Below are 25,762 nucleotides of genomic sequence, written 5' to 3'. Positions count from 1 at the left end.
GGAAGGGTGAAGAATTGGGGCCAATATTGCAAACCACCACCACAGATGCCAAGACAACCATGCTGAGAGAACTGTTGACAAATGCTTGCTAAAGCACACACTTATGTTTATTAAAGGACCCAAAGAACTTTGTCCCAAGGCAGCTTCAGCATGATGTCATGACCTTCAACCTTAGTATGGCAAGACTCAGCCTTCTTGTCATCGAGAATACTGGCTGTTTGCTTAGCCGTACTTGCTACCTTCTAAATGGTAAAGTGGCCAAAAGCAGTCTGGGAGGCTGATGATGTGAGAGAGAACCTGTAGTTGGGCAGGCACATGCACTTTGAGCCACATAATTATTTATTGGTAGAGATAACTGTGACTGGATGCCAGATCGGAGCAGTGTGGGGCCGCAGAGCCTAAGGTCTGTAAGCATCAGATGCTTTCAGTGCTGCCATTCTTGCTTTGCCACAAGAACGTCGTTCAAAAAGAGAGTCCTTCTCTCTGCCCATGAATAAGGCCTGCCTGCCAACACCAGTTCCAGCTGTGAACATGTAATCAGTTCTTCTATGTCCCCAAAAGGGTGGTCCCAGAGGCCTAAATTTAATTTTCATGCATATTTGTCTTCTCTCTCTACTTTATGCAAACACTACTTAGTTGCCAACACAGGCGCCAACTGTTTTGTTTGGATAATTGCTCGAAGTCAACCCCAACTATCAGGAGCTCCCTTTTACAGAAAGCACATTTTTGTTAATTTTCGGTTAACCAAATTATATCTTCCTTCAGTACCTCCTTCAGGGTTTCACCAATAATTTCTGCAAATATTTGATTCATTTTGAAATAGTTCAACACCAATGTCAGGTTTATTATCCTCCATGTTAGGTCATTGGAATGAGCAAGGGAAACAGGAGCTCTGCAGCCCCATGGATCATCTGCCACTGCAGTTTTTTCTTCCAAATAATTCTGTATTAGTCTTGCCATAATCACCTGGTCCTAGAGTGGCTGTAAGAACCGAAATGGAGATTTGTGGCCATAATAGGGATGAGGGGACAGGGAAAAATGAGCACTTGTAAAACAAAGATCTTATTTTTATGGAAATGAATAGAAACTCTGAAGTAAGGATGAGACATATGGAATCGCATAAAATATGAACAGAACATTTTAAAATAGCAGGTCCTCAAAAATACTCCATATGGCCCAGTAGTATTTAAGGTAACAGAAAACAGTTCATGTTGCAGCTGCAAGCATTCATTCCTGGGGTTCAGGACTCAGTTCACAAAACTATACTTTCCAATTTGTTTTCAAGAATGCTTCCTTTGTCTAACTCTTGGGACTAATTTTTTTGGGTGAGTCGGAGACTTAATAAGTTATTAATTAATATCTGTAATTTTAATTAATTGTATTTTATTATTAATAGAGTGATAAATTACTCATAAGTTATTATCTCTTCTTCTACTCTACTGAATCAGTAGTTACAAAACTTACTGCAGTTTTAGAGCCTATTTAGAGTTTATAGGCTCTAAATGTTACAACATAATAATATTGTAAGTGCTTATGATTAAAACATAAATCTAAAAATGATACAGGACATTAAAATGACATCTCCTAAAAGTGCAGTTGACACATACACACTTCAATGCTAATCAACAACTGCTACCTAAAGAGTAAAGAAGTTACACATTTTAAAGAAAATTTTCTGATTTTTTTGCCATAGTGTTAAAGAGGATGTGGGAAAATCAGTGTGAACACCAAATGAATTTCATTATATAGAACTCTCTATAGATAAAATACATCTCAATATACTTTGTGCCCTGTAGAAAATAAGATAAAATTTATTCATCCAATATGATACTAAGTCATGTTGAATGACTGCATTATAATATGTTATATGCCAGGCTTACCAAAGGGAGTATTTCTTTTTAATATCTTGGGCTGGGGTGTAACTCAGTTCTTTGGATACTAGCTTTCTTTTTTCTTATTTTCATTTTAAATTTGAATTCCAAAAATAGAAATATCAGAAGAAAGAGAGAAACATATACTCTCACACAAATGTAATGAATCTACTTTTACATATTCGAGAGAACATCTACTTTTCTGATAGTGAGCATCAGAAGTCTCATTCTTACTCCTTTCTTTAAGTTTGTAAACTCTGCCAGGACTATAACTGTGCTATTGTGTTGACATTCACTTCTTCATTTTATTTTGTCTGCACAGTCTTGATCTGCTAATTTCATTTTTCCTGTTGCTAAACTGTATTTTTTTTGGATGAATTGACTGTATGTTTGGCTTTGTGTAGACATAGCTACACTGTAAGTTGGCCCCTTAATTCAATAATTCACCATGAAGACTGGTTTTCATCCTCACTGTGTTGAACAGGCATCTAATCAACCATTAATTTCCTTTTTGTTGGATGAACATAATAACTATTTCTGTCTTTCTTTCTGATGGGAAACAGAGGCAGAGAGGATCATGGGTTGCCGTAAGTCAGAAAGGGAGGCTGTAGAAATCCGCTTCAGGAGTTGCCCTGATAGCATTTAGGAGTCATACAGCAGGAAAAGGCCAGAATTTGGAGGTAAAAAAAGAGTTGGAGGAAAACTAATGGAAATATATATACATATATGTATATGCATCTACAGGGCACTAGACATGGTTCTAGGTACTTTATAGCCCAGTGTAGAAGATTGCTTCTACCAATGAAAAGTTGGGCAGCCTTAATTTCTATAAGCCTATTTCTTCATCATCTGCAGAATGGAACAAATAGAATGGAACTGAGCAGTATTTTATAACCAGTAGGAAATATGCAATCATGCATTATTGTTACCTGGGGCATTGTCATTGTTACTTTTGTTTTTTGAATTCACTAAGAGATGGTAATAAGTTTGGCCATATTTATGAGGATAAAACAAGTCTTCACAACTTATCAAAGTATCTTTTTCATAAGCATCCCATTTTTTTAAGAGAAATAACAGATTAACCTAATGCACTCTTACGAATTTGGACATTTGTGGTGGTGAGACCAGTTTAAACGTTTTTAAAAAATGCAGTTTTAGTTAATGAAATACAATAACAGCAACTAATTTATTAAAGTTATTTCGATAAGACATTACCGAGATCTATCTGAAGTACGCTGGCCAAAAAGGGAAGTGGCTCATATATCCAAAGCACATGGAATTTGGGGTGAGGTTGGCCTCAGGGAGGCTCTGAGCCAGGATCTTCAGCAGTCCTGAGACCTCCATCTGTGCCTCTCATTCTTCCTGCATGTCATCTTCTTTTGCTCACTGTAGCCTCTGCAGTGAAAACAGTGAAATATGAAAACATGGTCTCCAATAGCTGCCAGCATCTGCCCCAGAAAGGTACTGAGATGTGGTCTGTTAAGTCCTAAGAAAAAAAAAATCCATCAAAGGAGTCTAATTGTCCAAGTATGAGTGCAAGTTGCACAAACCTTGACCAATCAACTGTGGATGGGGGTAGGGTATCACCTTGGGTGATTTTCCCATTGCAGCCAGAGAAGGGAAGACTCTAGAGTAAGGAAGTTCTCATTTAAACTACTTAGAGTAGTAGGATCATTGGCTTAAAGAAAGTTGTGTGCGTGTGCGTGTGTGTGTGTGTGTGTGTGTGTGCGCGCGCGCGCGCACGCACGCGCGTGCACATCTGAGAAGACAGAATAAAACATAATTACTATATAAGTTTAATAATGCATTGCCAACCAGAAATTTTTTTTTCTTTTATTATTATACTTTAAGTTTTAGGGTACATGTGCACATTGTGCAGGTTAGTTACATATGTATACATGTGCCACGCTGGTGTGCTGCACCCACTAACTCCTCATCTAGCATTAGGTATATCTCCCAATGCTATCCCTCCCCCCTTCCCCCACCCCACAACAGGCCCCAGAGTGTGATGTTCCCCTTCCTGTGTCCATGTGATCTCATTGTTCAATTCCCACCTATGAGTGAGAATATGTGGTGTTTGGTTTTTTGTTCTTGCGATAGTTTACTGAGAATGATGATTTCCAATTTCATCCATGTCCCTACAAAGGACATGAACTCATCATTTTTTATGGCTGCATAGTATTCCATGGTGTATATGTGCCACATTTTCTTAATCCAGTCTATCATTGTTGGACATTTGGGTTGGTTCCAAGTCTTTGCTATTGTGAATAGTGCCGCAATAAACATACGTGTGCATGTGTCTTTATAGCAGCATGATTTATAGTCCTTTGGGTATATACCCAGTAATGGGGTGGCTGGGTCAAATGGTATTTCTAGTTCTAGATCCCTGAGGAATCGCCACACTGACTTCCACAATGGTTGAACTAGTTTACAGTCCCACCAACAGTGTAAAAGTGTTCCTATTTCTCCACATCCTCTCCAGCACCTGTTGTTTCCTGACTTTTTAATGATTGCCATTCTAACTGGCGTGAGATGGTATCTCATTGTGGTTTTGATTTGCATTTCTCTGATGGCCAGTGATGATGAGCATTTTTTCATGTGTTTTTTGGCTGCATAAATGTCTTCTTTTGAGAAGTGTCTGTTCATGTCCTTCGCCCACTTTGTGATGGGGTTGTTTGTTTTTTTCTTGTAAATTTGTTTGAGTTCTTTGTAGATTCTGGATATTAGTCCTTTGTCAGATGAGTAGGTTGCAAAAATTTTCTCCCATTTTGTAGGCCAACCAGAAATTTTTAAAAAAACTTTCTAAAGTACTTAGAATTGTTATTTATATGTATTAATGCATTTGTGTAACAACTATAGAACACTCACAGAGCGTGGCATGCTAGGCACTGGGCTGGATTCAGAAAAACATAAAGATGCATATTCTTCCCTCTAATAACTTACAACTATTTTTTTTTAAAAAAGGTATACTCACCTAAGACATTCAGTTACAATGTGTCCAATGAGGATACAGCAAGAAATAACTGCAGTCATTCAGTAGACAGGGAGATTGTTGTGAGCATAAGCAGCAGATGAGATACATGCTTATTCACTAATCTTTTCCTTGATTTTTTTTTTCAAATCTCTTAACTAGAAATAAAGTCCAACTTTTTAAAAAGATGATATTTAATAACCAGAACCCCATATCTCTAATATTGAATGTAGAACCGTCTCTAAGCACAATTGTCAGTTAAGAAAGCTTGCTATTTGCTGTTAGGTTTAGTATTGAAATCATGTGACATAATTTAGCTCCATTCAGTTCTATCATTATAGTTTGCTTTGCATAACATTTAACCAAATGTGGCGTTGTCAGTAAACTCAGGCCTTTGAGTAAGTTCTCTTTTACTAACTGTATCAACAGTCTAAATCTTACTGATGGAAATTTCATGGATTTACCGGTCTTTACTATTAAGAAGATGCTTGAAGACTCTGAGGCGTTAAAATATGTGATTTCTCTTCTCAGTGTGGGAAATTATGCCTATTAGAAGGAGATACCATTTGGTGTAATGATTACATGTTATTAAGTTAATATTTCTATTGGGTTGCCTGATTATTCTAACCCCCTGTGGCCTTGAGGTATATTCCTTAACCATTATCTCTCACCGTAATGTCTGCTGCTGCTTCAAAGAAGTGAAAGGATGTTTGTTGAAAGAGGATATCATCACTCAAGATCATCTGCCTTGTTGGTGTCACCTGTCAGCCTAATACATTTATGTGGACAGCAGTAGGTTCTGACAGAACTTATAACGTTTTCTTTCTCGGTTGTGAAATATGATGGATGTGCCATACCGGTGACCTTTGCACAAGGCCACATGTTAATATTCAGGACCTCCCTTTTGTTGGCCTTGAACAATGGCTGTCATTAAGGAAGCTTGCTTTGCCAATATGCCCTCTGTTAGGATGCTGGACCACTCCTGATTGGTCACCAGGAAGTATCATGTGCCTTTGATGGAAATGACATGGAAGATGTATGGTCAAAGTGCTGTGCTCAGCACCACTGCTGTGCGAAGGAGAAAACCACTATGACCCAAATAGCCCTGCACTCAAACAATGTCGCACCAACCAAAGACAACATATTGGGAAGAAAAATGCTTGTAAACTGCATGTGTTAGAAGATGTATTGGCCAGACGGCCATAGGGCAATCTTTGAACTATTGAAATCTTTAGAAATATTGTTTGGTTCTGAAACAATACTTACAAACCTAATTAATCAAGCATAGATGGTTTATTTTCAGGCTTTCCACAGTGTGTTGCTTTAATGCAAGAATAGGGTCTGTCGAGTTCTTTTGCTGTTTCACAGGGGCATGCAAAAACTCAGCATGGGTATTCTTGTTCATACAAGTTGAAGCTCTAAATTTCAAAATAATATCTATGTAGATCTCTGGTGATCCCTTCAACAAAGACTAGGGTTGGGGGTAGCCTGGATTTCTTTTTCAATTGTTTCTGACTCCCTGTGTGACTCTTTCCCCACTCTTCTCCTTAATTTTATTCATCAGAATTATTTATCCATAGGTTCATTTAAGAAAGATCATCATTCCTGTTGAATTCTCTAGCATGAGGGGAAAACATTTTCGCTTTTTTTCTTAAAGAATAAACACAGTGAAGGGTTGGTTTCCTGAATATGTGCTTTTGAATGATGTGATTTAAAAGGTTCACATATACAGCCCTTCGAATTTTAATATCAGCCCTTTTCCCATCTTAATATCATGTTTAAAAAGAGTCAGTGAGAAAATGTATGTTCTGAAGTGGGGAGAATGAAAGACTTGGAAACAGCCTCATATAAGAAAGCTAAGGTGTTGTCTGGACTAATAATGCAGGCAGGTAGCACAAGCCTTTTGTGTCTCCAGCAAGCTGTGGTTGACATAAGTTAATCATTTAGATGAAAGAATCATTCAAGTACTTAATTGCATGCAAAATACTGCTTCACCAGAGTTTTAGCACGATGTGAAATATTGCACTGGGGCATGGCCAGTTGAATTGTGTGAGTACAATTCCTGAAGGTCAAATCCTGGTTATTCATTTAGAGGCAGATTATTGACATTGTGGATTCTCCAAGAGCTCCCCACTGTGTCCTCCAGGGCTATGTCACTATTCACCAGCTGGTTAGAATACACGGGGCAGGAGAAAGGAAAGGGACTGAAACTCAGCCCACAATTATACAGTTTGTAAGCAATTCAGATGAAAGATTTAGTGGGAGGGGAGATGCTCAAGTTCATTCTTTGTCAGGAAAATACATATTAAAACCACAATGCAGTGCCATTTTCTACCTGACAGAGGCAAAAATTCAAAAAACAATTCAGGTAATAGCAAGTGTTGGCAAGGATATGGAACAACAGAAAACTGTATTCACTGCTTATAGGAGTGTAAATTGGTATAAACATTTTGGAAAACAATGGGTATTCTATAATAAGATTGAAGATATGCACACCCCATGACTTGGCACTCCTAGAGAAACTAGGGTACATGCACAAGAAGACATATACAAGGGTGTTCACAGAAGTCTTGTTTGTAATACTTTTTTGTTTTTTTTTGAGATGGAGTCTTGCTCTGTTGCCCAGGCTGGAGTGCAGTGGTGTGATCTCACTGCAACCTCTGCCTCCCATACTCAAGTAGTCTTCCTACCTCAACCTCTGGAGTAGCTAAGACTACAGGCACATGCCACCATACCTGGCTAGCTTTTTGTAATTTTTGTAGAGACTGGGTTTTGCCATGTTGCTCAGGCTGGCCTCAAGCAATGAACCCACCTTGGCCTCCTAAAGTGCTGAGATTACAGACGTGAGCCACCGTGCCCAGCATGTTGGTAATATTAAAACAAAAACAACATAAGACTGGGCTTCACCCCTATGTCTGTCAATAAGAGAATGGACAAATACATTGTGGATACTCATATAATGAAATTGGGTGGGTCTGGGGCTATTTATTTTCTTTTTGTATATGTTAACATGTGTATATATATACCCTTTTGTACATATGATATTAAGTTGTAATATGTGAAATGGCCTATATTTGACCATTTTTGACCTACAAAATACCAATTTCATGTGGTAACATAGTGTTTCAAAAAATAACTAAATGAAGTTCATTAAAGAAAAAAATGCTCAGTGTAGTTAAAAAAAACTACTCAGAATCTCATAGGCTTATTAAAATTGGAGAAGACTTTGGAGATCATTTTTATTTTTCTATAGATGGGGAAACCAATGCCTAGAGACATTCATTCAATGAATCAATGTATCCACTAGGACCAAATGCTCTGGCTCTCAGACCAATGTTTTTAAAATTATATCTCATGTTTGAAACAATTTGTAGTCTAGCCCAGACATTTAAAAATAAAACATTCCAATATAAATCTGTGTCCTGGGCTGGAGATTTTCTGTGATTTACATGCAACTGAATAAGGCTGATGATGTCATGGGGAAGAGGCGGTATCCTGGGAGGAGGATGAACTATATCTGAATACTCTGCAGTTATCTTCTGTTGCATGATGAGAGGCTGACCCATGTGTCCCTTTACTAGGAGAGAGGGGGTGGTTGAGTGATATTGGGAGAAAGAATATCCTTCTCTCAGAAGAAGGAAAAGGCACATTTATACTTAGCAGAGTGCCTGAGCTATGACAAATGCCTCTTCCTCTTGTAGCAAGTTTACTTTCCCACATCCATGGCAGATATCAGTAATTGCTCCATGAACAAGACACAGCCCTAGAACTCTTCTTGAAAAATTGATGCCACAACCAATTTTGGGGCACTGGTATTTGAGACAAAACTTGTTTGCCACCTTTGATGGGGGCAAGCCACTGTGGTGACTAGAGCTGGAATGAGTGACTTTGATAAACTGAGCAATGTGGACCAATCTCTGAGGAAAGAGAAGTGAAGTGGTTACCCAGAGGGAACTCTGCAGAAGAAGACAGAGGTGATATGGCGACATGGAGTAGGGTGACACTGTAATACTGAAGAGCATTCACTGGAGAGATGAGGGATTCATTCATTCATTCTTTTTTTTTTTTCCAGTATAAGTTTTTGAGAATTTACTATGTGCCAAGCGCTTGGGATATGGCTCAGAGCTGGTACTTACCCTCATGGGGCTTACATTCTAGTGAGGGAAATGAACATTAAACTTGTGAACAGTTACACATATGGTATATGGTTAATCAAATAAAAATAAAGCAGGAAAAGGAGACATGATGGAGGTCACAGGGGGCTTTTTTGGAATGAAACAGGCAGTAAGCTCTTTTAGGAGCAGTTACTTTTTAGATCAATCAAGAATGAGACAAAAAAAGATTTCATATTATTTATTCCTTCTCCAAGTCTTTTCTTTTTTATGTAGATGAGTTTATGACCTATATTATTTTCCCTTTCCCCAAAAAACTTCTTTTAACCTCTCCTGTGGGCAAGTAGGCTGGCAATGAATTTCTCATTTTTGTGTGTGTCTAAAACAGTCTTAGTTTTTCTTTTAGTGCTGAAGGATAATTTTACTGGATATAGAATTCTGGGTTGGTGTTTTCTGTTTTTCAATAGTTTATTTTATTCCACTATTTTCTTGCTCTCATGATTTCTGATGAGAAGTCTACTGTAATTTGTTTTTAAGTAAATTTTAAAATTGACAAATAAAAATAGTGTGTGTGTATATATACTATTTATATCAGTATATATATTGGTATCAGTATATATATATACAGTACTATATAGTACTGTGTGTGTGTGTATATATATACTGTGTGTGTATATATATATACAGTACTATATAGTACTGTGTGTGTGTGTGTATATATATATACTGCATCAGTGCATGTGTGTGTATATATACATAAAAGCATTTTGTCTGTGTGTGTGTATATATATATATATCTATAGTGTGAAGTGTGATGTTTTGAAATATATATACCTGTGGAATGGCCCCATCAAGTTAATTAACTTATGTATTATTTTACATACTTATCATTTTTTGTGGTAAAACCACTTAGAATCTACCCTCTTAGCGATGTTCAAAACACAATATGATGTTATTAACTGTAGTCACCATGTTGTTCAATAGATCTCTCACTGTAATTGTTATCGTCATTCTTCTATAAGGTGTATGTCTCCTGTAAATTTTCTAAATGTCCTCTGAGATGTCTGGATCTACTGTTTTGTGTCTGTCATTAATTTTAGGAAGTTCTTAACCATAATTATTTCATATATTTTTTTCTGCCCCATTCTCTCCCTCTGTTTCTCCTTCATGTATTACAATTATGTATATGCTGCACCTTGGAAAATTGTCCCACAGTTCTTGTATGTTCTGGGTTTTTTTTCTCTTTCCATTTTAGTTTGGGAAGTTCGTATTGACCTGTCTTCAAGTTCACTGATTCTTTGGCCATTTCCAAACTACAGATGAACCCATTGAAGGCATTTGTTAATTCTGTTACAGTGTTTTTTATTTATAGCATTTCTTTTTGATTCTGAGTTTTCATCATTATGTTTACCTTGCCATCTGTTCTTTTATGTTGTCTACTTGTTCTGTTAGAGCACATATTGATCGTATTTATTTTAAATTCTTTATTTGAAAATTCCAACATCCATGTCATATCTGAATTTGGTTCTTATGCTTGCTTTGTCTCTTTAGCCTGTATCTTTTTGTGCCTTTTGGTATGCCTCATAATTTTTATTGAAAACCAAGCATGATGTATCAGGTAATAGAAACTGGGATAAACAAATCTTTAGTATGAGGTTTTATGTTAATCTGGCTAGATGTCGGGTTGTGTTTAATGTTTGTTGTAGCTGCAGGGGTCAGAGGCTTCAAATTTGTCCAGTGTTCTTTCTTTTTCCTATTCTCTGGACTTTGAGATTCCCTAACTACCCTTTCACACAGAGAGGCTGCATCTTGCAACATATTTAGTTGTAATCCACCGTTATTATACTGAAGCCCTGTTGGTGTGATGATAAGGTATGGATGGAGGGGAAAGATTCTATAATCTTATGATTAAATCTCAGTCTTTTAGTAAGTGTGGCTGTGACCTTCACAAGTGTTTCTTAGCATTTTTTTCTCCCTCTTAGGTAAGTAAGACAAGAAGGCTAAAGGGGGCTGGAGTGGGAAAGATTCCCTTCCCTCGGCTAGAACAAGACCCTAATATGCTTTTGTTATGAAGAATTCCCTGGCCATGTTTCACAGTGATTACTCTTCTCTTCCTCCTGTCAAATCCAAATCTTCCTCCTGTCAAATCCATGACGGAATCTTTTTCAGACTTTCACCTTGGGGAACTGGTGGAGTTCCTTGAGGCAAAACTCACTAAAATATAGGTTCTCTCTAAACCTGGTCCCCAGAAGATTTTTATTCTCAAGCTAGTTCACAACTAGCCTCCTACAGCTCATCAAATTTATCTTTTAAATATTCCTACCAGTTTACAATTCCAGAGGCTTCTGCTCTAGGTAAACAGATCCTTGTTTGACTATTTGGATTCACTGTAAAAAACTACCAGGCACATCAAAGTTGCCATCACCTTTCACTGGGCAACTGCCGGCTGCCTTCTAAATTGCTTCTGCTCTCAAAACCCCTGGTTGCTTTCTATTGCATGTTGTGCAACATCCCAACACCTCTCCTGTCCTCCCAACACCTCTCCTGCCCTCCCAACACCTCTCCTGCCCTCCCAACACCTCTCCTGCCCTTTCCCTCCATCCATCTGGGCTGCTCTCAGTTCTGAAAACACATCTGTCTTTGTCAGGCTGGGATACTCTTTTTTTCCACTCCTGAAATGACTAAGCCCTTTTCAGCCTTCAGGCTAGTCTCAGATTGAGTATCATCTTCACAGGTCTCCACTCATGTTTCTCTGTCTCAGCACCTTGTTTTTCATTAATATCACTCACTACTATTTATAACCATGTAACTGTGGCCTGCTTTTGCCGCCTTCCCCCTGTAGATTGCAAGCCCCATGAGGGCATACATTTGCCTTATTCTGTCATATCTCCAGGGTCAAGCACAGGACAAGGCATATAGTAGGCATTCAATAAATATTTTTGAATGAAGAAATGTATAAGCTGAGGCAAACACTGCATGGATGAAAACGATATAATTTTCTACTTGAGTCCTTGCCACCGAAGAGGTCATTCAGGAGCTACAGAGGGAGAGAGGAAGGAAGTAATAACAACAACGATAATAACAGCTAAGATTTGTTAAGTATGTCCTATGTGGCAGGTACTGCTCTAAACTCCTGTTGTTTAATTCATTTAATCTTCATACCAATCCTGTGTGATAGATATTATCATTATTTTTATTTTATGAATGGGAAAACTGAGGCAGAGAACACTTAAGTAGCTGGGCCTAGGTAACAGGTAACACAGCTGGGAAGGGGAAAAGCATAGATTTGACTTGAGCAGTCTGGATCCAGTGCTTGTGCTCTTGGCCTCCAACCTCTGCCACCTCTTGGGTGTGGTGCATCTCAGACTCTTCCTTTGCTTCAACCCTATTAGCTTAAAAATGACTTTCACTCCCCAGTTAGCTAAAAAGCTGAATAGGAGATGGCAGCCTTCATTAAACCCCATTATGTGGTGTAAGAATACTTTTTAAAGCCTAACACTGGAGTTTCAGCATTAATAGAAAATCTATTTGAGGTTTATGTTGGACTTTAGATATGCCGGAGATGAAATCGATTAGCTTCAGGCTCTCATTTGTGCCTAGAGAGAAAGGCAAAATGAGCTTTGGGGAATTAATTGTCTCTGTTTCATTTCTCCTTTTAGGACAATTGCCTCTAGTTTTTTCATAACATGAACATGCTAGAGTTACAAGCATGAGAGAGAGGAAAAGACAGAGTGGAAAAATGAACACAAAGAAGTTATTTTTTAAGGGATAGCTACAAGAAGTGGGTGTGAAGTGGTCAGCTCGCTGGTATCTCAGAGGGGCTGAAAGTACAGGAGTTAACATATTTGTCTTTTTCTATTGTATCAAAACTGAAAATGAATACATCAGCATTTGTTATGATTTACCATGAACTGCTTTGCAGCTCAAAAGGAATGAGAAGTTGTTTCTGTAAAATAGATTCATTTTATTGTACCTTGAAATCATCTGCCACAATATTACTTCATATAAAATTGGCAACAGATGGAAGTCCTGTGCTGCAAAATAAGACACAGAGATGCTTACACATTAAAAGAACTGGTAAAACTTGAATATTTGGGAGAATTTTTTTAACAACCAAAACACCAAAAAAGCCCCAAGTGTATCAGTAGTTGGGAAAAGTTGTGCCCTTGCCTCAGTAGCCTGAGGAAGCTGGAGGACACGGTTAAGAATGTTGGTCCTCGAGAGGCAGATAGTTTAAACTCTGATCCTGCTCATTTTATTCATTGGAACTTTGAGCAATTTAGAGAGTGCTTGACCTTTTAAAGATATCATTTCTTCTTCTGTATGTTAGAAATAATGCTGATAGCATTTTCTGTGGGCCAAGGCATGGACAATAGAGCAGGGCCTGGCCAATGGTCAGTGCCCAGCCTTTGTTAGCTGTTAGCACCATGACCACTTGCATCCACCTCGCTTCATCAAGCCCAGTTCACGGGAGTCACATGTATCCTCTGGCACTACTGGCATTGATTGTGTAGTAGAAAAACAAAACTCTCCCCAAATCTGAAGACCTGGGTCCTAAACTCAGCTTCTTCACTGCCTAAGAAGGGAGTGTAACAAGACGCTTCCTCTCTTTGTATCTCTGTTTCCTCCTCAGTAACATAAGTAAGCCAGAGAGTTTTTGTGAGGCTCAAGTGGAGTTACTGGTATGAGAACAAAATGTAAAGGAACATGCAAGTTGTAAAGGAGCAAATAATGCTGGTTTCTGAAATGAGGACCATCGATAGAAAGATACCTGAGGAGAAAGACTTTGTCGATTTTATAGCTCTAGTATATTCATGATTGTTTGACTGAATAAAAATGATAATAGCACCTGAAATCTCTGATGAGTGACTGAGATCAGTAGCTCCCTGCCCTGATTATACATTTTCATCACTGAAGGATTTACCGTGAACAGATACTAGGGTCCCACTCTCACTGATTGGTCAAGGGTGGGAGCACGTGTTTATATTTTTAAAAGCATGTCAGGTATTGTCTGATGTGCAGCCAGGATTGAGAAATACTGTATTCAATGCAAGAGATGTGTCACGTAACAAAAAGCTCTGGACTTTAAGTCATGGGCTATGGATTTTGGCTCAAGTTCTGTCACTATCTAGAATGGTAGATTTGAAAAATTATAAGGAATACTATTAATAAAAGCCACTGGAGATTGCAAAAGGACTTTCCTTTTCCAACAGTCTCTGTTTCTGATTGTTTGATGCCAAAACAACTGGTTGCTGTAGCCACTTAGGCAACCTGGTAGTTGTAGTTGTATCATAGAGGTAACCCAAAATTCATTCAGGGATCTGAGACACTAGAAGGTTCTGGTTTGCTGAAGTTCATTTTGCAATAAATCAGCTGATCAACTTAGTCTTAAAAGGATCACTTCTATTGGCCTGGGTAATCACTGGGGTAGTATCTAGTATATGGTAGAAACTATAAATATTGATTGAATAACTAAATAAATAAGCGTAGTCACCACCTGTCCCAACATCATACCTAGTGGCTTATTAATTATTCCCTGTACTTAAGTATAAGGAATACACACACACACACACGCACATGCATACACACAATGCCTGTTAATATTGCAAATACACAGTTGCTTTCTCTTCTGAGAAGCAGTGAAATCTTTAGTGCACAGGTCATAAGATCCAGTTCCCTGGAGGTATTTAAACAAAGGTGGATATTGAAGTTGGTGGGGGCTCAGCCTCAGATGACCTTTAAGGTCTCTTTCAACCCATAACTCCTGGAATGCGAAAGTGTATAAAGTACCTCAGGCTTTCCATCTTGTTCTTGGTATTTGAACAACAGAACAAGGGCAGATAGAATGCTATTGGTTCTAGTGTTGTTTGTTTTCCTTTAAGATCAAGAGATCCAGCGCTATTGTTTTGAAAAATTCTAAATGTTTCTCTGCATTTGGGAAAGCCTGCTAAATTTGTCTACTGTTTCAAATTCTGGTAGACATTTTCTAAGATGAAATGAGGCAACCAATTAAAATGAAAATGAAAAGCCTAACGTTTTGGAGGTAGACCAGATTTCTAGAGTTCTAAAATGTGCTTGCACACAGGGTTTGCAAATGCATTCCCACTGTTCTAAGCTGAATATTTATAAAATCATGTTCTGGGGTGAAGATTCTATGAAAGGAGGTAATTGATAGCGTGGCCTTTACAAGGCTGGCATAGGCCAAAGACACAAATTGGTGGCCTCTGATGATTCCAAGAACAGTTGTGTTTTGTGTATCTTACACTACATTAAAAAAATCCAAAATGTTACCAACATTTAAAACTCAGAGGTTTTCACATGCATAAAAATACATATTTCTGCTTTTCCTGAAAATCCAGAAAGGCTATTGTGCATTGCTATAAAGAAATACCTGAGACTGGGTCATTTACAAAGAAAAGAGATTTAATTGGCTCCTGAGAAGGTGAAATAGGCAAGTCCCATGGCAAAAGTAGGAGCAAGTGAGAGGGAGAGACACAGAGAGAGAGAGAGAGAGAGTAGGGGAGAAGGGGAGGAGGTGCCACACACTTTTAAATGACCAAATCTCAGGATAACTCACTCACTATCACAAGAACAGCACCAGAGGGATAGTGCTAAACCATTCGTAAGAAATCTGTCCCCATTATCCAATCACCTCCCACCAGGGCCCACCTCCAACACTGGGGATTGCAATTCAACGTGAGATTTGGGTGGGGTACAAATATACAAACTATATCAACTGTCTACAGTGGACCCACATTCTCTCATGGCAATAAAAGATAGGATCTGAAGGTCTCTGGCCCCTTATACTGGGACATATCACCCCAGGGTATCCCTACTTGGACCCTTATTTCATTTCTGTCATCCGCCTGGCCTCTGAAGGCATTTGCTTTGGTCTCCACTCTCGGACAAAGCTGTGGCTCAGGAGGGCTGTGTCTGGGCACCTGGCATGGCCAATGCCCTCTTTGCCATTTGACTGTGCCTTGAATTCAGGAAATATGTGTCTTGCTACAAGTTTTTACAGTCCAGCACGGTTGCTTCTACCTGGTAGAAATCAAGAACTCTAACTTTTTCCTGCTCTCATTTCACACCTACCAGTTCCTGGTTTTCCCTCTTTTCTATCCCTCAAATCTGGACACTTTTTTTTTTTGAGTGAAAAGAGCTGGTATTAATGATTACGATTGACCTTTGAACAAGGCAGAGGTTAGGGGTGCTGACCTCTCATACAGTTGAAAATCTGCATATAATTTTTGACTCCCCCAAAATTTAGCTACTAGTAGTCTTCTGTTGACTGGAAGCTTATTGATAACATAGTCAATTAACATATATTTTGTATGTTATTTGTATTATATACTGTATTCTTACAATAAAGTAATCTAAAGAAAAGAAAATGTTTTTAAGAAAATTGTAAAATATGTATTTACTATTCATTAAGTGGAAGTGGATCATCATAAAAGTCTTCATCTTTGTCTGCACTTTGAGTAGGCTGAGGAGGAAGAGGAAGAGGAGGGGTTGGTCTTGCTGCCTCAGGGGTGGCAGAGGCAGAAGAAAATTCCTATATAAGTGGACCTGCTCAGTTCAAGGGTCAACTGTACTCTGGGACAACATGTGTACATTGGAGTTATTGTAGGTATAATCATTTTCTAGGGCTGCTATAAGAAAGTATCACAAACCACCTGGCTTAAAGCAACATAAATTTATTTTTTCACAAATTCTGGAGACCAGAGATCCAAATTTAACTACCAGCAGCGTTGGCTTTTTCTGGAGATTCTGAAGGAGAAAGCTGTTCAGTGCCTTTTTCCTAGCTTTTGGTGGTTGTTGGTGATATTTGGTGTTCCTTGGCTTGTAGGTACACCCCTCCAATCTCTGCCTTCGTTATCACATGGGATTCTTCCTGCATGTTTGTATCTCTGTTTTCTTTTCTTATTAGGACACCAGTCATATTGGATTAAGGACCACCATTTTAGCTTAATTATCTTTGCAAAGACCTGATTTCCAAATAAGGTTACATTCACAGGCACAGGAGGTTAGGACCTCAACGTATCTTTTAGAGGACACAATTTATATCACAGCAAGCTAGGTCATTTGTTCATGCTACCTCAGGCCCAATGCCTTCCTGCAAATTGCCCTTTATTTGTCCAGACAAGTCTGCTTAACACCTCACCCAATCAGATCCCAAAGCTCTAAACACTTATCCTTCCTCATTCTGCTCCCTCCATGAATGATCTCATTCCATGTTACTGTTAGGTGACAGGTCATCCTATTAAATAAATGGTAAGGAATGCTAAACTACATTGACTCTCTAAAGTTTATCTGCACTGTCTAATTGAAGATGATTTCTGAATTATAAGAGTAAAACATATTGAGTGCATAAAATTTGAATATTACATAGAAGTTACCCAGAGTTTGAATTATACCTCTGAGAAACAACTGTTAATTTGATTTTCTTCCAGTTTTTATTCTTTGCCTCTTAAAAATCAAAATTATATACTTTTATGTTGCACTATAATAAGTATTTTTCCATGTAAACTCTAGTATACTATATAATGTTCAATATTTGTCAAGTGTTTTCTAAATGCCAACTACTACCCTAAGTACTTTATGTGCATTATCTAATCTACTATTAATAGTTAGAATATTCCTAGAGGTAGATATGATTATTCCTATTTTATGAATGAGAAACTGAGGCAGAGTAAACCTAGAGAATTTTTTCTAGGCTACACAACTAGTATTTTGTAGAATCAGGATTCAAACCCAGCTCACCAATCTTCAGAGCTTGCACTGACAGCACTGTGAAGAATATCTTAACTTAGAAACAAACCATAATTCATTTTTATTTATATGGAAGCAAGAATCTCAAAAAGAATTGGCTTGGGTAATAAGATAAAGGCAAATGAATCTTGCATCTTTTCATCCCTTTCACAGCACCCCTCTCCCCAAAAGAGATCTCAGCACTCAAATCTCAATCCTACATTTGCATGCACACACAAGCACACACCTACACACACATGTGCACACATGTGCATGCCCCTCTACCATTCATCTAGTTGTAAATCTAGGGAATTATTCTTCCCTTTTTCTGTGTGCCTCTTCCTCCCATAACCAACCCACTACCAAATTGGCTAAGAAGCCAGATTTGCTTCTTAGATATATCTTTAAACTGTCTTATCTCCATCTCCTCCAGGCCACCATCACCAGTGACAGGGAAATGTGGCATTGCACCAGCTCTGCTCATTAATATCTTTGACAATTGGGGACTTTTTTTCCTGTTTACTTTCTACTGAGACGCTAGAAATGTAGATATGAATGGTTTGAGTTGACACAGTAGGCTGTCAGTTTCCCAGTGGAAATGAATTAGGTAAAGAAACCCATATCAACTGCTGGATAAGAATCAATGTGGGTGGTATAGCTCTTTTCTCTCTGTGCTCTTTACAATATTCTAGGGCAGTTTTGAGCAATTGAGATTGTTTTTTACCTTCTGACAGTGCATCAAAAGGAGTGGCTTCAGCAGTCAATATTGGGCTATGGGGTTGACAGATGTGGATTCAAGTTTCAACTCTGCTAATTATTTGTGACCTTTAGCAAGCTACTTGCTCTAAGCCTGTATTGGTTCCTGAGGACCACTGTAATAAATTACCACAAAATGGGTGACTTAAAAAAACAGAAATGTATTCTCTCAGTTTGGGAAGCTACAAGTCTAAAATCAAGGTGTTCACGGGTCTGTGCTTTTTCTGAAGCCCCTAGGGTAGGATCTTCCTTGTGGCTTCTTCCATCTCCTGGTAGCCCAGGTGTTCCTTGGCTTGCAGCAGGCTATCTCCAATATCTGTCCCTGTCTTCACCTGGGTCTTCCCTCTGTGTCTTTGTCTTCACTGGCATTCTCTTGTGTGTCTCAGTTTCCTTTTCTTATAAGGACTCCAGTCTTATTAGATTATGGCTCACCCTAATCCAGAATGATTTCATCTTAATTTGGTTACATCTTCAAAGACCCTATTTCCAAATAAGGTCACATGCACAGGTGCTGCGGGTTAGGACTTTAATATATCTTTTTTGGCAGGGAGGGGAGGGGGTGAACACAATTCAACCCATAAGCCTCAAAACTAGCTTTGTGACCTGTGCAAGACAGATAATAATACTATCTGCTAGATATGATTCTTTTGAGGATTCAGTGACAAACATGTCTGGGGCCTCACACGGTGCCTTCAACATAACTAGAACTCAGCACAAACATCCTGTCCTCTACCTCCCTTTCCAGACCCTCCCCTCTTCTTCTTCTCCTACTCAGCTACCCTAGTCTGTCATTTTTGTTTACTCACAGTAGAAACACAAAACAACCAAAAGTTTACATATTACCTGACTCCATCCTTCCTGCCATTAATTTAGCAGGTGTTTTTGGTGAATTTTTCAAACGAATGTATTTACCTTTCACAGTATTTCCAGAAAGGACTCAAAATTCAATGGCGTGTAAAAGACTACTTCATACTTGCCAGTACATAGTCCCCAGGTGTTCTGTAAGCACAGTTTCTTTTGATGAAGAAAGCTATGAAGAATTCCGTTCCTCTCCAGCACCATCCAGTGAAACTGATGAGGCCCCATTGATTTTTACTGCCAGAGGAGAAACTGAGGAGAGAGCCAGAGGAGCACCCAAGCAGGCTTGGAACAGTTCATTTTTGGAACAACTGGTTAAAAAGCCTAACTGGGCACACTCAGTAAATCCTGTTCACCTGGAGGCTCAGGGCATACACATCAGTAGACACACAAGACCTAAGGGCCAGCCCTTGAGCAGTCCCAAGAAAAATTCTGGTAAGTATCATGTTGTGGTTACTGACTCTTCTTGTTTCAACTGGTCACATTTTGTTTTTAACTTCAGTATAAACAGAAAAAATATTGACTTCATGGCCAGTCCTATTCTAGAAGGTACTGTAAGAACTGTAGTAGCCAGTCTTCAATGAAAGTCTGCTTGTTGTCAAGCATTATATTGGAGGAGAGAACAGGTGTGAGTTGATGACAGGTAATTTGATGATTCAGTTATTGCACCTGACAATGACAGCTATTATCATCACCATTCCAGCCACACTTATTAAGCTTTCACCATGTGCCAGACACTGTGCTAGGCATTTTATATTATTTTATGAAATCCTCATATAATATTCAGGCAGATCATACCATTATCCCCATTTTACAGACAAGGAAGTTGTGAATTCATAGCACAGGATATAGGAGGAATGATTCAAAGTAAGGACATGGCCCAGAAGGGATAAGTTTTGACTGTGCTCAAATATCGACTCTCTCCCATCTCAGATCTGTAGCCATGATCAAGTCTCAAAAATGTTTTTGCAGCCCAGTTTTTTCATCTGTAAAAAATGACAATTATTACTTCAAATTAAATGATTTATATAAATAAAATTTCCTGAACATAGTAAGGGCTTAATGGGGGTGGTGATGACGGTGGTGGTACTTATGGTGCTGATGTTCAGACTGGAGGAGAGAAAATGTAAGGAAAAAATGTGGATCTCCAAATATTCCAAGAGCTGTCATGTAGAAGAAGGATGAGACTGATGTTATATAGTCTTTTCATTTATAGCAAGCTTGTCCGACTCATGGTCTATGGCTTTATATGTGGCCCAACACAAATTCGTAAACTTTCTGCAAACACGAGATTATTTGTGAGTTTTTTTCTCATTAGCTATCATCAGTGTTAGTGTATTTTATTTATGGCCCAAAACAAGACAATTTTTTTCTTCCTATGTGGCCCAGGGAAGCCAAAAGATTGGACACCCCTGCTTTATAGGGACCTTTTGAGGTAGGTTTCCCTCCACATGTTTGTACAGTTTGTTGGAACTGACCAGAAGACAAGAGATAGATTTTGACTCAATACAAAGGAGAACTTTCTTTGAACTAGAAGAGAATGTACTGCATGGGCTAGAAGTGCTCAAGCAGGGGGCTGGGAGACCTTCTTCCAGAAAGGCTATGTCAGAGATTCCCTTGTTTCTGGGAGGCTGAGCCTGGTGATGGGAAACAGAAGATGCTGGTCGGCTAACACTTTTGAATTCTTACTATGAACAAGGCAATATGTTGAAATTGGAATGTACATCTTCAGTTTTGATCCTCATGACTCTCTTCTGAGATAGAAACTGTTATTTTCCTATGGTTTAGTGCAGAATCCAGGTCAGAGTATTTCTAGATCCAGGTTCTAAATATGACTATGGTGACTCTTGAGTACTGAGCACTTGCCATGTACTTGATGCTTAACATTTTGTCAGATTCTTTCCTCCAATACTTAGCTAGTTTCCTTTCTCATTTCAAGTCTTTGACTTGAAATGTCACCTACTTAGGTCTTTCTCAACTTCCTTTTTCAGTTTATTTTTCATCATAGGGTTTATTACCAGCTGGCACTTAAAATTTATTCATTCACTTGCTCGTTAGTCTGCTTCTCCTCCCTACTTTTTATTGCCTGCATATTCCTTCTGTATCCCCAAGGTCTAGAATACTGCTGATCACATACTGAGCATTCAAATATTAATAAATGAATGAACAAATTTAATCTCACTAGCAACCCTGTGAAGTAGGTAATATAATTCCCATCTTTCGGGTAAGGTCAAAGAGACTTAGGCCAGGTCATGTACCAAGATTTGAATCTGTGAAGTCCTGACCCCAGAGCTTTACTTCATTATACCACACTGTTCCTTTAAGATAGTTTGTTGCAAAATGTATCATTACTAAATTGCTTTCAGGGAAGGAAATTTCTATTTTTTTGGCTCAAGACATAGGAAAGCATATCCTGTCTAGGTCATGCCCTGTTGCTCCAAACTCCAAAGCTACATCAATGTTCTCTGGAGGATTCTTCTTGCACTGAATATTGATGGCAGTGAATGGTTCATCTGACAGGGCCAGAAATCCAAATCAACAGCTATTAAGCACCTAGTGTTCACAAAGCAACATGCTTGAAAGTTTTCATTTACTTGGAGATATTAAAATGCCATTCTGCCTTTATTTCAGGAAGTGATTCCTGCATTGGAGAATTCAGATTCACAAAAAAATTTTCACTGTTTGACTTGGGCATGTGGAATGTGCAGAGGGAGGTGCTCAGTACATACTAGGCATAGAACAGAGTTCGATGAACTAAACTGAATTACGTAAAGATACACTGGCTGTTTGACATCCAGTGTTAGGAAGGTACTATTCATTTTAATTATTTTATGTGTTTTTTGAATTTTGGAATGATCTGAGTTGCTCCAAATATTCTAGACATCTAAATGCTATTAAAAACCTTTGAAAGCTTCTAGAAAGTGATTTAAAGCACATACATTTTTTATTTAAGGCACATAAATTATCTTAAGTCACTACTGAAGAATTAGATTTTAATTTGTGTAGGTCAATGGGCAGAATTTTTCAGGTAAAATCTTCATGATTTATATATGTATTTATATAAATCTTGAAGTTTATATATGCAATATATTATATAATATGGAAGTTTATATATACATATGAAAATGTAGGTAAATATATGTTTCTGAATATATATATATTCACACACACATATAGCAGTCTTGGCTATGTTGTAAAAAAACACATCTTTTGTATGGAAAAATTATTTCGTTGGGCAAAGAAAGAAAAAAGTCAAACTTATTAGTATTAGTGGATATGTGTGTGTGATGTAGACCCAGTCTTAGGTTAATTTACTGTTTGTTTTAGTCTTCAGCTGGTTTGAAGTTTCCAATAAAACTCATGAAATAACAGCCTCCTGTATTTAAAAAAAATCATCAGTTGACAGCCTACAGGAGCTGTAGACACATTTGCTTTTACATATCCATTAATAACTCCGCTTGACAATTTTCCAATCACAAACTTTCCCTTCATTTAGAAGTTCGGGCCCTATTTTAGCCACCGATTCTTCTATGTCTCTCTCTTTAGGAGTTTTGAACAGTTTTCCTTGAAATAGAAAGTTTTCTGAGGATTATGCAAAAGCTATTTTTTTTTTTGAGGTGTTGGGTAGGTGGTTTCAAAGAACAGGAAAGGAATGGATAGCATTTTTGTTTTCTTAGAGAAATATGGGGAGGCAGGTGAGGATCATGTCAGGGTTTTTTTTTTTTTTTCTTTCCCCTCTGAGCACATTACAAATGTTGATTTCTCAGACGTCCAGTTGTCGCGGGGGTGCGGTGTGGTCCCGCACGCTTGAGCCTCATCTCTGTCCTGCTTTCCTGCTTTGCCTTCCAGGTTCTGCCGCCAGACCTTCCACTGCCATCGGCCTCTGCAGGAGGAGCCAGACGCCCGGCGCTCTGCAGAGCACCGGCCCGAGTAACACAGAGCTCGAGCCGGAGGAGAGGATGGCAGTCCCAGCAGGCGCTCAGGCACACCCCGACGACATCCAAAGCAGACTCCTGGGCGCGTCCGGAAATCCCGTCGGAAAAGGCGCGGTTGCCATGGCGCCGGAGATGCTCCCCAAGCATCCTCATACCCCGCGGGACAGGAGGCCTCAGGCGGACACCTCCCTCCATGGCAATCTGGCAGGAGCGCCCCTTCCTCTGCTGGCCGGTGCTTCCACCCATTTCCCCTCCAAGAGGTTAATAAAGGTTTGCTCCTCAGCACCCCCCCGCCCAACCCGGCGTTTCCATACGGTTTGTTCACAGGCCCTTTCTAGGCCGGTGGTGAATGCTCACTTACATTGACCGCTGCGAGGGAATTGTTCGGCGAGTGCTGCCCATCTTCAAATCAATGCCTGCTCAGAACAACAGAAAGGGCCTCAGATGTACTGGTTTCCACAGAACCATTGTTAGGCTTTTGTGAAGCATTTTTGAACCTAATAAATAATGTCAAAAGTCCCTAGCGCAGCCAAAAATGTTCCTTTTGAAGCATCTCTAATAGTATTTTTGTTCTGCGGTGTCTCCCAGTGTTACAAAGAATTTGTGCCTCACAATAGGGATGGGGTACATCGCGTGCCACTTTGCAACGTGCCTCTTGGGATTGTGAGGACCCCTCTTTGTTTTGCTTTCGCAGGTAAACGGTTTCACTTGCCAACTTCGCCTTTGGCTTAAGGATGTTTTCTAAGGGCCTTTAGAATTTCTAAAGAGAGTTTGGGAAAACATAATTGAATGTCTGTAATTTAATAATTTACATGAAATTTGATTACTCCTGATGTGCCCAGGGGAATTTTTCATGTCGTATTAAGGATTTAATGTCAGAAACCTGAAGCTGGACCCCAGTTTGAGGCCCTGAAACACTTGGAACCAAGTTTAATGTAAAAGAGGTGCTGAATTTGCTGATTTGTAATACAAAAAACTGGAGCAGCTTAGGGAACCTTTTATCAAACTGGTAATTTTAGGCAATACCTTTTATTTTGTTAATATAGCAGCTTTTCTTCACGGTAGGATTCTGAGACCAACTTTATCAATTGATTTTATGAGTTTAGTTTTTCTCTTTTTAATATAGTAGGGTTTTTTTCCCCTTCAGAAACAAAGAGAAGTCAATGTGACCGATATGCATACATGCAGTTTTGCACTCAAGTTCCTTGGAATTTTCCCACAAGCTTGGATTCACAGAGTTTGATAGATGGAGGTTGTCAAATCTTACTGCATTTAAAAAAAATTTTTTTTTCTTCAGTTCAAATTAATATACACAGTATGATTACATTTAAGACAGCATAATGTCTCAAGTCCAAATTTAAGTCTCAAGGTTTTGAGAGGAATGAAATGTTATAAGCAATAACTTCCTAACATTTAAGAGTCTGTTTAGTCCTTTGGAGACTGAAGACTGTTTACTTTTTTTATTATTAGCATGCTTTAAGAATTATGCACTTTAAAGAAAAATGGAATCCCTAAACTTTAGAGCTTTCTTGGTTCCAGATTAATATGATTTTTTAATAATAAATATGCTTTTATTTTTATTCATTTATTAACATGGTTTATTATAAGACAATGTACAGGTTATCAATGTTGATTGCTGTGGTTTCCTGAGGATATAATGGCATCTGCTTACCAGAGTTCATGTGACAATCACAAATTCAACTTCATGCCATTTGGTTGGAGATAAATGTGTTAGGCAAACTCATGGACTTATGTAGAAGTTTTATTCTGGGATATTTTAATTTGCTATTTAATTATGAGTTAACACAACTGATTTTTTTAGTTTAAGACATCATTACTTTAAGTTATTTTAAAACAATTAACCAAAAATTTGTAATGGTCAATTTCAAGAATAGAAAATGTACTTGATATAGTAGATGGATTCCTTCAGCTGTAGAAGTGCAAATTCCTGAATTTATTAAAAATGCAAAACAGAAGGAGAGATCCTGTTCAGAATTCAGAAAAGGAATACAGGCTAAAGACATAAAATATGTGGTATTCTAAAGAAGTTTCCCAAAGTGTGTTTTGTGAAACACTGGTATAAGAAAGATAGTTTGTGAGATGGAGAGTCCATAGATAAATATGTCTGAGAGATACCCACCATGTACCCTCTTAGAGAGTCATAGTAACATTAGGTCCCTGAGAAATCCCATAATAAAAAAAATCTGATAAACTCTGTTTAACCCAATGTCTAGCAACCTTATTTAATCATGGAATCCTGATAGATTTGTGTGTGTGTAAACACATACGTGTTTTTGAAAAAAACTTATCAGTACTTTGTACCACCAGTGTCCTATGCAACACCCTTGGGAAAACATTGCTCAAAACTCTGTTCTAAATACACCAAAGTCTATGTAGATTTGTAGGGTTCAAAGTAAGGATTTCTTTTCAAATTAGTGAGGTAAAAATCAGGGCTAAAGAGAGAGCACTTTGAGACCCTTTTCTTCCTTGGAGCAGTGTAATGAGCTGTCT

General features: G+C 38.5%; 1 protein-coding gene across 43 annotated transcripts in view; it reads left to right on the top strand.

Moving 5' to 3' along the window:
* C12orf42 (chromosome 12 open reading frame 42) overlaps window positions 1–25,762 on the top strand; it is a 516,167-nt gene that overhangs the window by 238,066 nt on the left and 252,339 nt on the right. For 23 of the 43 annotated variants that reach the window (XM_047428803.1, XM_011538294.3, XM_047428802.1 and 20 more), the window contains 2 exons: window positions 19,380–19,751; window positions 23,166–23,770. The exons of 17 other annotated variants lie outside the window; for them this stretch is intronic. In XM_047428803.1, the coding sequence (XP_047284759.1) occupies window positions 19,380–19,751; window positions 23,166–23,617 (824 nt within the window). In that variant the 3' untranslated portion in view covers window positions 23,618–23,770. Of the gene's footprint in view, window positions 1–19,379; window positions 19,752–23,165; window positions 23,771–25,762 lie in introns of those variants that run through there. 3 more of the 43 variants (XM_011538306.2, NM_001386872.1, NR_170333.1) reach the window with 2 other exon arrangements.

The sequence above is a fragment of the Homo sapiens genome, chromosome 12, assembly GCF_000001405.40.
Source record: "Homo sapiens chromosome 12, GRCh38.p14 Primary Assembly".
Taxonomy (NCBI): Eukaryota; Metazoa; Chordata; class Mammalia; order Primates; family Hominidae; genus Homo; species Homo sapiens.
The sequence above is the reverse complement of the archived record's forward strand: the minus strand, read 5'-3'. Positions and strand labels throughout refer to the sequence as shown.